This window comes from Homo sapiens, chromosome 3, assembly GCF_000001405.40.
Source record: "Homo sapiens chromosome 3, GRCh38.p14 Primary Assembly".
NCBI lineage: Eukaryota > Metazoa > Chordata > Mammalia > Primates > Hominidae > Homo > Homo sapiens.
Genome location: NC_000003.12, coordinates 128,249,755 through 128,268,193, shown reverse-complemented (window position 1 = coordinate 128,268,193; position 18,439 = coordinate 128,249,755). Strand labels below are relative to the sequence as shown.

General features: G+C 44.3%; 1 protein-coding gene across 10 annotated transcripts in view; it reads right to left on the bottom strand.

Annotated features, from left to right (window-relative positions):
* EEFSEC (eukaryotic elongation factor, selenocysteine-tRNA specific) overlaps positions 1-18,439 on the bottom strand; it is a 272,743-nt gene that overhangs the window by 158,030 nt on the left and 96,274 nt on the right. For 7 of the 10 annotated variants that reach the window (XM_024453695.2, NM_001437809.1, XM_024453693.2 and 4 more), the window contains exons 3-4: positions 5,970-6,066; positions 3,413-3,577 (exon numbers count right to left, since the gene is read on the bottom strand). In XM_024453695.2, the coding sequence (XP_024309463.1) occupies positions 3,413-3,577; positions 5,970-6,066 (262 nt within the window). The remainder of the gene's footprint in view (positions 1-3,412; positions 3,578-5,969; positions 6,067-18,439) is intronic. The other 3 variants (NM_001437812.1, NM_001437815.1, NM_001437813.1) reach the window with 1 other exon arrangement.

Below are 18,439 nucleotides of genomic sequence, written 5' to 3'. Positions count from 1 at the left end.
GTGGAAAAAATACAAGGTTCATTGGTCCCAAGCAAGTTTAAAACACAGCAGGGCAAATTCCATGAGGTTTCAATACCTGAGACTGACCTCTGTGGCTACTCCCCTAGCCTCACTTCTGTTTCCAGAGCCCTGCTCTCAGAGTCATTCTTCCTTTTTTAGTTTTTGAAGGATAACATGTGTTTGTAGCTGAGTTGTTCTATCAGCCTGTTTCTTGTCTGTAGAATCCCAGAAGTCTGACAGCTTTTTATTCATTTGTCAAGTCTCTCTCCCTTTCAGTCCAGTGTTCTTGCTGGTATAACATTCTCAAAACCCTTGAGGGTCTCTTATATACATCAAGGGGTCCATGCCATTAGCCAAGACGGCTCTCCGCATAACTTTGCTATAGAAGTCCATCTCTATTTCTGGTTGCTGCTAAGTTGCTTGGATCTGTGAGTCACACACCTCCTCTCTTCAACAGAAGGTTGTCCAGGCTCACCTTTGGCCTTCTCTCCAAGGTATGCTTTCTCAGCAGTGAATTTCCTAATCTTAACATCCTTTGCAATCTAGAGGGACTGAGAACCTCCGAAATCATCAAGCGCTGATTTCTGTTTGCTAACAGTTCCTTCCTCAATTCATTCCTTTTCCCTCATGTTTTACTATAAGCATCAATGGAGAAACAAGGCAGCATCTTTCACAGTTTGCTTAGAAATCTCCTTAACCAAATGTCTCAGTACATTGCTTACAAGTTCTGCTTTTCCTGACTAGTAAATTAGATCATCAGGCAGTAGACACCAAAAGTGTTAAAAAGTAGGCTGGGGAAAAACAGGTGCACAAAAGTAAAAGGAGAATTAAATTTGTATCTGCCAAGCACCTGCCATGTGCCCAAGTACTAAAGATCAGTAACTGGCATCCTGATAGGCAAGTTCCACCTTTATAAGGACAAAGAGGGTGGCCAAAAAGCTCAGAACAGGACCCCACTCGAACATCCCTGCCTCCTTACCACTACTGACTTCTCTGCCTCAGCCCTTCTCCATGCCCTCAGCCCTAACATTGCAGCCACTGACTCTTATCAAAAACCTTTTTCTCCCTCTAGAACCTCAGGTACCCCCAATTCAAAGTCTACCCCACCCCCCAGAGAGCCCTCTTTTGACACCTCTTTCATACTCCCAGGTCCTCTCCCAAGCTGCAAGCATGTCTTCTCCCAGAGTGGAAGGGATGCCAGGTCAGAGTGGCCCCCAGAGGTCTGACTTAGGAAGCACAGAGACTGGAAAGAAATTTAGTACTGATTCATTTTCTGTTCTAGCAAAGAATCTGCAAACAGTCACCAAAGTAATCTTAATTTTGTTAAATATAAACTGAATCTACTTTTACACTTTTGTGCTTTATTTTTGAAGATTTGCACTTTTAGTCCCTGGCTTAAACTAGATTTTATTCAAGTGGTCTTTTTCTGGGACCAATGGTCTTCAGAGGAGGACATGACAGCAGGTAAAGGAGGGGACTGTGACTCACAGTGTCTGGGGGACATCCTAACACCCAGCTCTGGCCAGGTTCCAGGGCTCCTTGGATATGGTGGGGCCCTGCCATTCGACTCCTCCCACTAGATCCAAGGAGCTCTGGAACCTGGCCAGAGCCAAGTCCTTTCTTTTGTTTTGTCCTTTCTGGTCAGGAGACTCTTCCCTAATACCCCTGGCCCCTGCAGAAGGAAGTAATAGACACACTGCTGTAAAATGAGCTGGGGGGTTGAAACCTCAGGTTGCCTTCATTTGGGGGAACCCTGTTCATGCCTGCCCTCCATGAAATGCCCCTTCCCTATATCCAACCATGCTGCTCTAGATGAGGGATGGCACACGCAAGACATGGGTGCCAGTAGGGACCCTCTCCACTTCCCTCACTCAGGCCAGGTGCTGCTATCATGGCCCTCTCACCCAGCGGGTGATGTGGTTCATTTTATGTGTCAACTTAGCTGGGCCACAGTGCTCCAACTTTATTCTGAGTGTTTCTGTGAAGGTGTTTTCAGATGAGATTAACATTTAAATTGGTGGATGTTGAGTAAAGCAGATGACCCCTATAATGTAGGTGGGCTTCATCCAATCAGTTGAAGGCCTTAAGAACAAAAGGATTAACCTCCTCAGAGAAGAGGGGATTCTGCCAGCAAATGGCCTTCAAGCTGCAGCTCCTCCCTAGGCCTCAATCCTGCCAGCCTACCCTGTAGATTTTGGACTTGCCAGGTTTTATAATAGTATAAGCAAATTCCTTAAAAAACGTATCTATTTATCTATCTGCATCTAATACTAGGTGCATTAGTTGGTGTTCTCCAGCAAAACAAAACTAATAGGAGATACAGATATCTACATATTTACATCTATGTATCTTTACCTATGTATCTATAGATACCTAGATATCTGTATCTCCCATTGGTTCTGTTTCTCCGGAGAACCTTAACCAACACACCTAGTGAGCCAGACAACCTTAAAATGCCTCAATACAGCCTCCAGGTAGCCATTCCCAATTAACATGCAAATTGAAATCATGCACATCCAAGCCTCTCTAGCAGCTAGCTGAGTCCACAGGGCTGAGCACCTCCACTTCCCTGCACTGTAGGCTCCTTCAAGGATTAGAGAACTGCCCTGGACCCCAGCATTCCAGGCAAGGTCTCACATGAATTCTAAGTAGCATGTGTTCCCTACCTTTTATTCTTGTTGAAGGGGAGGGCAGTCAATGAGGCTGTAAGTTTCTCTTGTCGCATAAAGTAAAACTATTAAAAATGCCTTCTAAATAAGGGGAATATCAAGGCACTATCTTTTAAATCAGAGCCAGGCCATCATAGTAGAAGGAGGGGTGATGGGAAGGCACCAACCACTCATCCTTCTCACAGGTCTTCAGAAGAATAATGCGGCATCTGTCGATGGCCACCAGGAGTGCAAAACCAACCTGGATTTCTTCCAGATTCTGTGATTCTGAGCATCATAAGATTCACGTCATGTTTAATTTGAAATTACTGTGGTTAAGAAAAAGGTACCCAGAAATAACTCCACACATACTTGCCACCCTGACGTACAGCGTCCAGAAAGGGAGGTTTCCCCTCCAGCAGCCCCACTTGTTAACCATGTGATCTCAAGCCCACCTCACCTTCTGGAGCCTCAGTTTCTTTATCTACACAGAAGACCTACTTGGGAACACCTCCTTGAGGCACATCATAGGCCTCCAATAAACAGGCGCTATGAGAATTAGGGAGAGCAGCAGTCCTAGAATCTGAGTTGAAAGACTTGGAGCCGGGCGGGGCCAGGCAGCCAGAGGGGAGGTGGGGCGGAGCAGGCAGTGGGAGTCCCAGGGCAGGCACAGCAGCAGGCTCAGCAGCTGAACAGACAAAGGGACAGTCCCCCTCCCTTGCTGCCAGCGAGGAGGCCAGAAGGGAAGACAAGGTAAGACTGACCTTGAGGGCAGGGATCTCCACACTGTCACCGAGGCTGATGGAGCCTGAAAGGATGGTCCCTGTCATCACAGTGCCTTGGCCTTTGATGGAGAAACAGTGGTCCACAGACATGAGGAACGGTCCCGAGGGATCTCTCGTTGGGATGGAAATCTGGGACGTCAGGAGCTAGAAAAGAGAAACTGGTGCCACAGTCCGTGGGGAGAGGAGCCAGATGGGGCAGGGCAGAGGAAGGCAGAGAATGTGGCTGACCAGCAGTTCATCAAGGCTGCCAAGGTGAACTCAGCTCAGAGGTCCATGCCCTGGCAAGGTGGACAGGAGATCAAAACCACCTAACTCCCTGACTGCATTCCAAGCTTCTGCCATGCTCTCAGCTCTTTCCGCTCAGTCTGAAGGAAAGGGCACCTGGAGAAGCCTCGTCTGTCTTCTCCCGTGGGACTGCTACAATGGTCTGTCCTGCCAGGCCCTCCATGCTGCAGGAGAGTAGCCACTAAAGGACACCCTGTCGCATTGCTCCCTGGCCTCATGCATTTCCCCAGCCTCCTGATGCCTTCAGAATTTAAAACTCCTCATCATCTAGCCCCTAGGTACCTTTTAGGCCTCATCTTCCGCCACTCCCTGACGTATGCCAGAAGCCAGCCGCCAGCAGGCCTAGAGTTTTACCAGCTGGCTGAGCCTCGCCTGTACTGCAGCAATACCTCCTCTGGACAGGCTTCTCTGTATGGCCACGTTTCCCCTGCCCCCATCACTATAGCTAACACTCTCCTGTGATCATCTCTTTATTATCTCCCCCATAGGGCTGTGAGAGCCAGGTATCTCCAGTAGCTGGCATCATGCCTGAGAGAATGACAAGTGAAAGAAGAAGAAACAAGGGGATGTGGGGAGAGGGAGGAGGAAAGGATTGTTCCCAGGGTCCTTCCTTCTCTGCGGACTCCACACGCCTCAGCCTCACCAGCCGATTCTCCTCATGCCACCTGTGTGCCGGGAGATGCTGTCAGGGCTCATCACCAATAAACAAATGAAAACAAAGACTAGGATTCCTTGTGTTTGCTACTTTTTCACTTCGTAAGGGAACAGGCTGTCAAAAAAGTATTCAGTGGTGAATGTTCCAAAGTCTTAGTCTTGTGATAACAATTCTTTTGGAAAAACACTAGAGATTCAAACAAAACAGGCTTGGTCTGAGATTTATGTAGGGGCTTCTTAAAGGAATATACAAACATCTTTCAAAGCAGCATTTTTGAGGATTTCGCTTTAACAAAAACAACTATCCCAGGCTCCCAGACAAGTGCTCTCAGGAGCCTGATGAAAAAGTAACAAAAGCCTCACCCAGAAAACATTTGTTTTGCTAAGCTGACAAGATCAGCACGTGTAAATCACAGAAATGGTGGCAGTGCATGTACGTGGTCACATCTCATCTTGGCTCTGCGGAGCCAGGTGCAGGGGGGCCGTGAAGCTGACCCCAGCGATCAACCTGGGTCTGAATCCCAGCTCCACCGTGTAACTCGCTGCCAGACATGGGTCAAGTTATTTAACATCTTTGAATCTCAGACTCTTCGTTGGTATATGGGGATAAATAATTTCAGCCTCCCTGAGTTTTTGTGAATGTCAATGATCCTGTATGTAAAGAACTTAGTACAGTGCCTGGCCTGTAAACATCAACATCACTGTAACAGTAAGCACTGACATGGCACTGTACCGAGCACATTATACACATTAACTCATTTAACCCTCACAACTCCACGAGGTATGTGCTATTATCTTCCAAGTGAAGGAACTGAGGCAAGAAAGAGTAGATCATTTGCCTGAGGTCAGAGAGAGTGGTGGTGGAGCTAGCCCCTGAACCACAGTCCAGCCCCAGAGCCATGCACGTTGCTACTCCACCCGGCTGAACTGTCCTGAGCACTCTGTGGAGGAACTCTGTGGCTCCATTCTCACTGCTACCTTCCTTAGTACCAGCACCATCAGCACCCACACACACCCTTCCTGATGGATGACTGGGCTCCCTCCCTGACTACCAGCACAAGTTAGGAAGAACAACCTGGGCCTCAGCCCCACAGCTTCCGAAGATAAGCCTCCCATCTTTGGTGGAGGTGCCCAGGATGGAAGCTGCATTGCCCCTGCTGTTGGGCTCATGTCTTTCACCCCTGCCTCACTGGCCCCCAGCCCAGGTGGGGTACTGGAGGAGCTGATACAGTCTGAAGGACTGGAATGGATGTCACGGTCCCAGGGTTCCAGATGGGTGGGAGCTGCTTTGTCTGAGTGTAGGTATGACAAGAGAAAGGAGAAAGTGAGGCACAGCAAGGTGTGACGAGCTCTGCAGAGTTTATGGCTGGAGGGTGAATCATGGGCTTCAGTGAACCTTAGGAGTCCTAGTTTGGGTCTACCTTTTTGAGGGAGGTGGGGGAGTTGTGCTAAGGTGTTAACAGGGAGGTTAATGGAACCAACTGAGTCCTCTTGCTAGGGCTGCCTCTCTTTCTCTCTCAGGGGAGAGAGGGACACAAAGGGGCTGGCCTGAGCAGCGCTGGGGCTAAAGGGCAACCTGGATTCAAGATGACAGTACCTCAATGAGCTCTGGAATGCCCTGTGGAGCTTCAGTTTCGGGGGCCTCTGGTCCCCCCGGCTTGGCCGCCACGGGTATAATCGGTGCACCTCGGAACCTGAAATGGAAAATAAGTCCCATCACAGTTACAGAGATCAGCAACATGGACACAAAGCACGTCCATGAAGCACCTGGCACAGTACCAAGTGCAGTGAGCATCCTCTTCTCTCCCCACATCAACCAAGCCTAGAAGACAGCACCACTGTACTAGCACATGGCACATGATGCAATGGAGGCCCCAAATTTCCCCGTCTGGGGGAAATGTCCCTGCATTGGACATCAGAATTTTAAAGGGCTCTCTTAGATATTAACCTCCACTTTCAGAGCACTCCCTAAGGAGGCAGCAGTGATCCTGGCCCCTAGGCTTCTGAATAAAAGACCTCCTTGAAGAAGACCAATAAATACATCTCAGCCTTCTGAAGAGATGCAAGAAATAATAGTGACCAAAAAGTATCTGCAGATGTACCTGGAAGCACGCCTCTACAATCTCAGTTTCTAATGCAGAGCATTCTTGCCTAAACTCTACTAGCAAAGCCCCCGCATCTTTAAGAAGACATACTTATTCTGTGTGGACATTTATCTTTCCCATTTAAAAAAAGGAACATTGTTAGGGCAAAAAAAAAAAAAAAAAAAAGAGGGAAAGAGAAAATAAATAACCCATAATCCCATCATTTGGTGTATTTTCTTCCAACCATGGTTTTCCCATGCTTTGCCAAGGGATTCTTTTTTTCAGATTTTGGTTATAGTATGTATACGATTTCATATCCTGCTAATTTATTTACCATTATATCACAAAGAACTTTCTGTTGAATGACAGCAACAACAATAACAACTTACATGGCTGAGCCAAGCCTATAATGTGAGGTTTAAATGAAAGCATCTACAACACATGATGGAGTTGTTGCCATCTTATAGATGAGAAAATGAGGCTTAGGGAGTCTAACTGATTTGCTCCAAGTTGTTGGCTATAAACCTTAGAGCCACATTTGAACCCAGCCCATCTGAGTCTGAAGCCAGGGCTCTCAGTCTCTTTGTCACACTTCTCTCCACCTGGGCCTGTTCTTTCATTGTTGACACCTGGACAATGGTACGACCCAGAATTTACATGCTTGTACATGCTTTCCTCCATTACTTATTTGTGATATTTCAAATTTTTCACTATTATAAATTACACTGTGATAAACATGTCAGCGGGCATGAATGTTTTTTTTTTTTTTTTGCCTTGGCTGTGGGATGAATTCGTGGGGTACACATCTAAGAGTGAATACTCACTAATAGATCAGCAAAATGATACAGCAAGGACATCTGAAAAGCCCTCTTCCATGGAAACAAAGAACACTGGCAAAAATGATCAGAATCAACTTGTTCAGAACTCTGGAAATTAACCAAAGGCTTGAGCAATCTGTGGAGTGTTTATTCAAGAAGAGTCTCAGTAAAACCAAGTGAGCTTTTGATGTTTTAACTTGCCCTCTTCCTATGCTAACTCTGCAGCTGTCCTGAAAACCAATCATGGTGAAAACCAGTAGCATGCCAGGCACTGAAAGGGGCAGAATGGGTTTGAGCTCCTTCAAAGCCCTTCTTCCAGAGAACGATCATGATTTTCCAGTCTGGTGGCTCCCTGGAAGGCCCTACTCACAATGCTATATTTATTTGACCTGCCTTGGAGCTTGCTTAGTGCAAATAGCCTTTTCCCTGGGGGAGTTTGTTGAAAATAATCAGAGGCAATTGTTTAACATCACAGCTGCCTGAGGGAAGCTGTGATATTTAATAGCCAAAAACTTCTCAAATTTCATGGAAAATATCTACACTTTCAAGAATCTCAATAAACTCTAAATAGGATAAACTCAAAGACACCCACACCTGGCACATTACAATCTAACTGTTGAAGGCCAAAGACAAAGAGAATCTTGAAGCCATCAAGAAAGAAGCGACTGAACTCATGTACAAGGAATCCATAATAAGATTTGCAGCTGGTTTCTCAGGAGAAATCGTGGAGGCCAGAAGGTATCAGGATAATATATTCAAAGAAGTGAAAGTTAAAAATAAAAATAAAAAAAATCTACCAACCAAGAATTTTATATGCAGTAAAAAATGTTACAAAAATGAAGGGAAACATGGGATCACCACATGATCCAGCTATTCCACTCCTAGATATATATCCAAAAAGAACAGAAAACAAATACTCAAAGAAGTACATATCCATACATGTCCAGAGTAGCACTATTCACAATAGCCAAAAAGTAGAAACATCTCAAATGTCTATCAATAGATGAATGGATACACAAACTATGTTGTGTATATATACACAACAGAATATTATTCTGTTGTGACATAAAAAGACATGACATAAAAAGACATGAAGCATCAATACATACTTCAGTGTGGATGAACCACAAAAACACTGTGCTAGGTGAAAGAAGTCAGACACAAAAGGTTGCATATTGTGCAATTCCATTTATATGAAATACCAGAATAGGTAAGTCCATAAAACAGAAAGGAGATTAGTAGTTCCCAGGCTGGTGGCGCACAGAGAATGAGGAGCAAAGGGCTTAATGAATACAATTTCCTGTTGGGGTAATGAAAATGTTCTGGAATTAGATAGTGGTGATGGCTGTACAATTCTTTCCACATTGAAAGTATGAATTTCATAGTATGTGAATTCTATCTCAATTACAGAGAAAATAGATTGAAAGGTATGCTACCTTTTCCACTACCACAATGGACATCTAAGATGCCTATTTCACTGCACACATAACAAAATAGTCTTTTAAAAATTATTTTTAATATATACTTCATTTTAATTTGTATTGCATTGCCTTAATAAGTAAGCCATACAATATTGAACCACTTCCAATTGTTTGTATACCCAATGTATTTTCAGGAGACATTTCTGTAGCACTTCTAGTTCTGGAGTTTGTTTCCGCCAGGAAGAGCCACCCTTACCTTCCTGACACTGAGGCTTGCTCTAAGTGCTTCTCTGTATATAGTCTAGCATGCAACACAGTGGGAGTGGCAGAAAGAGACAGGACCTTTTACCGAGCACCAATGGTACAAGCAATTGTGCTAGAAGCTTTCCAATCCCCATCTTCTCATCACAATCCTGAAAGGTGGGTATTATTCTTCCTCCCCCTATTTCATAGAAGAGGGTCCTAAAAGTTTGGCTAGCTTTGGTAGCTTGTTCCAGGCCACAGGCTAATGAGTGGTGGGGCTGTGATTTAAAGCCAACTCTGAGTTTACTTTAAACCTGAGACTATCATGAGAACAATCCTCCATCAGCCTAGGTTGGAGGCAGGGGCATGTGTCCCTTCTCAAATCCATATGAGAATTTGGAAAGCAGCTGATCTTCAAGGATCAGGGAACATATATTTAAGTCCTGTAGCCAGATTAATAAAACCCTTGCCCTTAATTACATACATTAAATATATGTAATTTTAGTTCTCAAACCAACGAAAAAACGATATGATAGCTATAATTATAGTACCCAATACTATGACAGTTTGCTATCACTTTCAAATTGCAGACATAAATTTATTGAATTCTTAACAACCCTCTAAGGTAGGAAGAACTTCTGTCATCATTCCCATATTCAGAGTCACACATTCATTCTCCAAATATTGGTGAAGCACCCACCATGCACACAGCACCTGGCTAGATGCTTTCACATGACTCCATTTAATCCTCACAGCAATGATGTCAGGTATTATATTATCATTTTAGAGATGAGGAAACTGAGGCACAGAGAGGTCAAATGATTGCTAAAGGGTCGCAGGTGAAGCAAATAGCAGAAGCAAGGAGGAATCCAGAGCTCAGCACTCTGGTCCCAAAAGCCCTATTCCAGAGCCCTGTCCTTCCCACGGTGCTGGGATCCCCAGAATGACCTCCAGCATCCACTCCCCAGGGACACTGACCTGGAAGATGGCATCAATGGTCTTTCAAAACACAAAAGCAGAAGATTGAGCCCAGTGCCAGCCTGGGCACAAAGAGGGGATGACAAAACATCAAGGTCGCTCTGCTCCCTCCCTTCCTCCTCCTCTCTCAGGGTTGACCTGCACATAGACCAATTGTCCCACATCCTCTTCACAAGCTTTGTCAAATTTGTGTGCCATCTAAGCTATTTGCTCATTTATTTTCCTTAAAAGAATTAATGTTCTTACTTAAATATATTTATTTTAAAACGCAATTTCATGCCACTATCTAAATGGAAAACCACCACATTCCACAAATAAAAGGTAGAGTAGAAGCCCTCCCACCACTGGTCACTTTAAGGACATCCATGAGGCAACGCTCTGCACTCCCTCTGCAAAACCTGCTCCTGGCTCCTAGCATGCCAAACCTCCATGCTGGGGGGGGACAGCTTGACGCGCACAGGCCACGCTCAAGAGGTGAGTACTTCCTGCACTTTTGCCTCCTGACCTTTATGCTGAACCTGGTTATGCTGTAAAGTTGGTAATGCCCGTTATAAGCTTCACTGTAACAACATAATTTAATTTAGTATTATGAAACAACAGTGTGAAAATAGCTGTTTCTATGAAAACTAAATTGAATGCTCTGGAAAGGTGTGATAAAGACAAATCTCCTTAAAATCTGGTGTTAAACTAGGTGTGGATAAGAAAACCATAAAAGACCTGCAGGGAGGTTGTGTGAAAACAGAAAAATCCTGTACTCAGACTTGCTTCACTGAAATTGTGGGCAGTGCACTGCATTCGGGAGTGGTTTATAGATGAAAGGTGACTTGGAGCTCTAGTTAGTGGGCTCATCCTGGAAGAAAAGACGAGCTGGGCAGAACATATCCCAGCAAGTGGCAGGTGGAACAAAGCCGTGGAGCCCCTCTGGAGAGCATCTGAGCAAAGAGAAAGAAACTGCTGTTCAAATACTCACAACAGAATTAAAGTCAGTCACTGAGGCTTTCTCTGGGAAATCTTACTAGAGAGCACCTCCACAACACTGAGAAAACCGCAAAAACTTAGAAGATGTGACCAAGAGAAACAATCATATGCAAAGAAAAGTATGCCACACTTGGATAGAAAAAGCCAGAATGATCACAGTTGCTGCCCACAGTGATGCAACTGGAGCCTACACGCTACAACTTTTCCTTATTGCCAAATCAGCAAACTCTAGAGCTTTCAAAAACATAAATTCTGGGCCAGGCATGGTGGCTCACACCTGTAATACCAGCACTTTGGGAGGCAGAGGCAGGAGGATCACTTGAGGCCAGGAGTTCTATACCAGCCTGGGCAACACAGAGAGAACCCATCTATAAAACAAGTGTTAAAAATTAGCCAGATGTGGTAGCACATGCCTGTAGTCCCAGCTTCTTAAGAGGCTGAAGCAGAAGGATTGCTTGAGCCCAGGAGTTCAAGGTTATAGTGAGATCCAGACTGGGCAACAAAGTGAGACTCTGTCTCAAAAATACATACATACATACTGACCAAGAAGAACATACAGAATATAGCTTACTTAACTGTATTCAGACCAAATGAATTAAAGATAACATATAGATTATAAGTGATCATGCATGGAAAACTGAAATTATAAATGACACAAAAACCAAACATTCTTCAAAAGCACAGCCTGAAGAAGTGGAGTCAGGCCCGAATTCAGAACTCAAATCCACATGCAGCCAAGAAGCCCCAGACCAGCCTGGCCCGGCTGCCAGTGTCTTGGTGCTGATGAGGAAAGGGAGGCATGATGCTGCGAATGTTGTATTTCTTCTGTAACAGCTTTTATTGTTGATTTTATTAAATAAATATGCACGTATATGTTTTAAGTTAAAATATTATGTTTAAGGCATGAATGTGTCATTTTTTATGATTCTCTGCTTCAAGGGACTTTTTTGATTAACCAACCACAGTCCAATCTCAGGGGACAAGAAATCTTCTACTACTGTAGCTACAAAAATAAACACAAAGAAAACAAAATAGAGCTATTAAATTCTAGCTAGATACTATTACCTGCTGAAGGCACTGAGCCTGGTTAAAAAGTTAGGGAAATCTTTAAGACACAACAGTACCAATTTGAGACATTTTTTCTGACTTAATAAAAGAGATTTAAAGATAACTGAAGAAGGTTAACTTTCATTGCAATTTTGCCACATCCAAGCACAGTCCCAGATGGATCTTGTGTGACATGTGGTGCACGTCCCTCACTCTGAATAATACTGCCTCCATCTTCCTCAGACCCTAGGCCATCCCCTCACATTCCCCCACTATAGCCCCAAACAGAAGCCAGGCGAAGGATCCAGCCCAAGAAGAGGCACCTGAAGGGAAGAGCCCAAGCTTGCTGCCAGGTCTATGGGGGCCTTCCAGGAACCCATGCTGATACCCCAGCCCCGGCCCCGCTCCCCAGCCCCTCCAAGCTCTTCCCTGGACTCACATCCAGAGACTCCTACAGCCCCAGATTTCTCTCCTCTTGGGACAAAAGCCCTCTTGCTTGACACCCCCACCCTGCCACTTTCAATCAACATCCAATTTCTCCTTCTTCTCATATTTCAAAACAAATCCCACTTCTGTTTACCCATCAGAGCTTATGGCTGATTTTCTTACAAGGTCACTTCTGTCTCCTTCCCTTTTAAGTGCAGGACATTTACTAAGTACTTCCTCTGCGCCAGTCTCCACGGAACGTGCACAATGAATACACAAAGGGCTCCCAAGAGCAATGGGGGTGAGGGGCTGGGGCACCAGACCAGGGTGCCAATTCCATGTGACACTAAGAGGAACGGGGGCCAGGGTTCGGGGAAGCATGGCAGAGAAAGAAGTTCCTGAAGGTCAAGAGCAGCTCCCAGTGGTCAACTCAGTGCTCTTCCCTTGCAATCGCTTTCCTCTGTGGCATCTGACCAGGTGACTGTCCAGCAGTGGCATCCTTCCCTCCTCCCTGACAACCCCATACCTTTATTTCCATGGCCCTTGACTATCCTTCACGTCCCCGAGAGGCCCTTCTTCATCACTCATGCGCCCACTGCAGGCCTCCCCAAAGAGTGGCCAGAGAGGCCAACTCTTCCCCTGCATACTGACCATGAGGGCCACAGCCCCCTTGTGGGCCGCTCCCAAACCGCATCCCCAGCCAAGCCCCATTCCCAGCACTCTAGTTCTACCCTGCCATCTGCCATCAGGCTGCCTCCTGGCCTCTAATTCCTGGCCTCTGATATGGGATGGCATTGCCCTGGCCTCTGAATTAGTCCTCTCTGACTGCATGGTCACTGATGTCTCTCATCAGTCACTGCATCCAATTGGTTCTCCTCTTAGGATCTTGCTCCAATCCATCCTGATTTTCATTCTTAATGGCTTCCACTCTGGGTCAGGCTCTTCTCACCCCAGGCCTCCCAACTGCTCTCCAAAGTGCATGCACAGACCACAGCTGTGAGAACCTTCCAGCAGCACCACTCTGAGGTGCTGGCCCTCTCCCCTCCCCACTCTCAGGACTCTGTGACTGTCCTGGGATGAAGTCCTGGCCCAGGGTGGTACACAAGGCCCTCTGGGATCTGCTCCAGTCTCCCCACACTGATTCATCTCAGCAAAAGCCCTGGGTATCTGCATTTTTAAAACCCAAGCTCACACTGTTGCCCTCACCTCCTTCCCCTCCTCTCCTAGGCAAACCTCACCCAGGCAATGGCAGCCTGAGGCAGGATTCCAGCTAGAAACCTAGGACTAATTTCCATTCCACAGCTGGTTTATGCGATTTCACCTCACTCAGCCCCCATTTCCCTGTCCAACATGAGATGGCATGACCTAGATCACAGGGTTGTCTCCCAGACTGAATCGGTTAACATGTGTAAAAGTGCCGTGTGGAACTCACGAGGAGCCCTGGGAACTGCTGCAACCACCAGTCGTCTATACCAGCACAACAGCCACAGATGATGGCACCCCTTCCCAGTGGCCAGTTCCTGGCCTGTGCTCCATATTTTGAACCTCACCCCTGCTTAGTCATCACATGCCCTTCTAGAGTTAGTCCTCATTCCTGACTCCCCAGCCAGAAGCAAACTTGCCTTCCTCAGAATCCCCTTGCTACTCTGAGGAGCCACTTCAGCTCTGGCCTTTAACTCCGACACAAAGCAAATTCCCTAGCTCACCTTCGCCATCATCCAGGTACTCAGGCTCTCCTGTCCAACTGCACAGGAAGCTCCTCAGTTGGGAGGAGCTTAATTCAACTGGCCTTTAAAACCTCATCCCACTGCCCTGGCCTGGTTGGGAGCAAACCCTTGAAGAAAATCAGATTTTTTTCTTTTTTAAAGACAAGAGACGTAACTCTGAGGAAGCTGAAGTTCCCTAAAGAGCAACTTAAACAATCTCAGGGGCCACTCATTGCTCCAAAGGTCAGTGTGACACGATGATTTCAGTTCAGTAAGGAGATTCCAAAGAGGGCCACAGACCCACCTGTCAATCAGTTCTAGAGTAGCTCAGACATGACACACTGCCCCCACAGAAGTAGCGGGGCTTAGGTCTTTGCCTTGAGAAAGGCAATACCCAGAAGGACAAAAGAGAGCTTGGAGAGGGAACGAGGGAGGGAAAAATAATTCACAAAGGAAGGAACAGTGAGGAGAGGGAAGGAAAGAGGAAAAGGAAAAAATAACACTGAGGAAGAGAGACAGAAAAGAAGAAAAGAAACACAGGAGAGAAAATGGGAAAGGCAGGAAAAGAACTCAGACTTCTCTGCGACCTGCTCTGTACCAGGCACCAAGCTTGGTGGTGTCCATACCATCTCAATAGTCCATGGGCAGGGGTTCAGGTACCATATTCAGAGAAGCTATGACTCGCCCAGGGAGCCAGGGAGTAAGTGGCTGGTCTGCAGGAGTCCAGAGTCCAGGCCTCTCCCATAGGAGAAAGAGATGGGTAGGAGAAAAATCTATTCTTAGCACGAAGGCTCCATCCGCAGAGCTGACGGAGCCAAGACCAAGCCATGTACACTGGCTCTGCTTCCACGCCCTGAGCCTGAGGCTCAGAGGGACACAGAGTTGTAGGAACGTGCATGGGGAATTCCAGAGATTACCTATAAAGCTTTTGGAAATTCAACTATCTTTATCCAAACCCTTTTGGGCAATATATAGTAATAGAACATAACAGTGTGTTGGGCCAGGTGTCTGGCCCTTTCCCAGACTCAAGAGAAGCTAGCCTTCCCAACACGCTGAACATGCTACACATTAGGGCACCCTGGCTTCTGGCTGTACAAGGGAGACCCAGCTCCATGGAGCCCTGGGGAGTAGAGTTTAGCAGCCACTGGATTGGTGTCTGGGGTCTAGGAGTACAAGGGGCTCCAGCCAGAGACGGCAGCTGCACAGCTCTGTAGTGCGGGCAGGAGCTGACCAAGAGCTCATTCAAGGACTGCTGTCCCTGCCATCCCACTGTCTCCTCCAGACTTCCCTGGCAGCTACAGTATGTTGCGGTGCTTGCTGGGCCTAGACGTGCTGACTGTGTATGCAAGCTGACGTTCGTTAGCACACAAAAAAAGTTTCAGATAAATATATATGTGTATGTGTGTGTATATACATATATATATGAATTTATAATCCATATAAAGATATATAAACAAATAGAGTATAAATAAATTTTACCTTTGGGATAGTAGATTCAAAACAGCCAACATTTATTAAGCCTCACTTTTCTCAATAGTCAAGCCAGACACAAAACCTACCTCTTAGGAAACTGTAAGGATCCGACTGATTCCACGAACTATGCATGCGAAACCCCTAGTACAGTGCCAAGTACACAGCAGGTTCTCCACATGTTACAGCTATTATTCCTACATATCCATGGTGTGCCAGGCTCCACGTGAAATGCTCCCTCATATTAAACGCTATGAGACTGAACTTTTCAGCTCCCCTTTTACAAAGGAAGAAATAGCAGCTCAGAGAGATGGAGTGAGTCGCCCAAGCACACACAGTTAGTCAGCCACAAAGCTAGTATGGAAAATACACCTAGTCAAAGTCCACTCAGTAGCAGAGAAATTCCTTGAGATTGGCATTCAACCCATTCACAGGGAGGGAGGCAGGATCAATGGAGTCCCTGGTGGGCTCCAGACAGAGGGCTCTGGCTAAAACAGACAGAAGGAAATAGAAAGTGTTTAAAAAGCAGGAAGAAACACAAAGGGAGTCTGGGGGAATGATGTATCAAGGATGCTGTCAGATGATAACATTTAGTGGAAAAATAAACAGAAAAGCCTAGAACACAGAACAGTGTCAATGCTGTGATAACAACTACCTCAAATTATGTACACGCAGGAAAGACTGACAGGGATCCTGGGGGAAAAACACTTTAATTTGATGCATTGAGAAGATTGTGGGTACATTTTTATCTTCTGTTTTGATTTCTGTTAACATTGATAAATGCTTATGCAAGAGTAATTTTAAATGCTTTCAGAGATAAAGAAATCACAAAGAAGAACAAAGAGTTTGACTACATAAAAATTAGAAACTTCTGCATGTCAAAAAAAGCAACTAAAATGGAAAGACAACAAATGCCAAAGACTTATTTGTAGCAAATATGATAGAAGGGTTAACAGCAATATCTTTACTAATATTAAACACTCCCAAAAATTAAAAAAAAATTAAAATTGCAAGAGGCAAACAGACAAAATTTTTACATGGGCATAATTCACACATACAAAAGCACAACTGTTCAAAACACTTCAGGAAATAAAGAACCACAAATTAAAACAAGAACAAAATACCATTTCTACTAAGTTACCATTTCTACTAAAACACTATTTTCTACTAAGTTTCAAGTATAGTTTAAAATTATAAACCAAAGTAATCTGCTGACACCTGTGTAAAATGGTAGAACACTTCTGGAAAATAATATGGCAATGCACAGCAAAAAGTTTAGAAATGTTCAGACCCCTTGATCTAATAATCTCATACCTGCAAATCTATCATGAGGAAAAAGGTGAAAATACAGTTTAATGATGTACAGAGATGTTCACCTTAAGGCTTTATTTTTAAGAACAGAAACTTAAGCCAGTCTAGTAGGTCAACAGAGTGGTGGTTACATGAGCAAATGATATGTAAAATGTTAAGTAATAAAAGCAGAAATAAAAATGTACATGCCTCATGACTACAACTATATGTAAAGAAAAGATGGGGGGAGGACTCAGCAAAGTTGCAGGGTACAAGTTCAAAAATCAGGTGTGTTTCTATCCACCAGCAATGAACAATCCAAAATAAATTAAGAAAATAATTCCTTTACAATGGCCTCTAAAAGAATCCAATACTTAGGAATAAATCGAAGAGACAAAAGCCTTGTACGCTAAAAACTACAAAACATTGCTAAAAAAAAAAAAAAAAAACCAAAAAAAACTAAAGATGACTTAAACAAAAACATATCCTATGGTTCATGGATTAGAAGATTTAATGCTGTTAAGATGTCAATACTACCCAAAGAGATCTACAGATTCAATGCAATACCTATCAAAATTCCAACAACCTTTCCACAGAAATGGAAAAGCAGATTCTCAAATTCATGTGGAACTGCAAGGAGCACCAGATAGCCAAAACAATCTTGAAAAAGAACAAAGAGAGAAGAGTCATACTTTCTGACTTTGAAACTTAATACAAAACTACAGACATCAAAGCAGTGTGGCACTAGCCTAAGGACAGACATATAGACCAATGGAATAGAACAGAAAGCCTAGAAATAAACCCACACATATATGGTCAATCGATTTTTTACAAAGTTAAAAGGGGAAAAGACAATCTTTTCAACAAAAGTGCCTGGAAAACTGGATATCCACATGCAAAATAATGAAGGTGAACCCTTAACTTACATCATATACAAAAATTAACTCAAAATGATCAAAGACCTAAACTTAAGAGCTAAAGCTACAAAATTCTTAGAAAAAAACACTGGATAAAAATCTTCATGACACAGGATTCGGCAACAGTTTCATGGATATGACTCCAAAAGCACAGGCAATTAAAAAAAATGATAAACTAGACTTCATCCAAATTAGGAAGTTTTGTGTATCAAAGGACACTATCAACGAAGTGAAAAGACAATCTACAAAACAGGAGAAGATATTTGCAAATCATATCTCTGACAAGGGATTAATGTCCAGAATACATAAATAACTATTACAATTCAACAACAACAACAACAGAAAACAACCCAACCTAAAAATGTACAAAGGACTTGAATAGATATTTCTCAAAAAAAGATACACAAATGGCCATTAAACCATGAAAAGATGCTCAATATCATTAGTAACTAGGGAAATGCAAATGAAAACTATGATGATATACCACTTCATACCTCCTAGGATGTACTGAGAGGAATTGAAAGCAGAAAATTGAATAAATAGCTATACATCCATGTTCATAGCAGCATTATTCACAGTAGCCAGGAAGCAACCCAAGTGTCTACCAACAGAAGAATGGATAAATAAAATGTGGTATATAGACATAATAAAACACTATGCAACCACAAAAAGGAGTGAAATTCTGACAC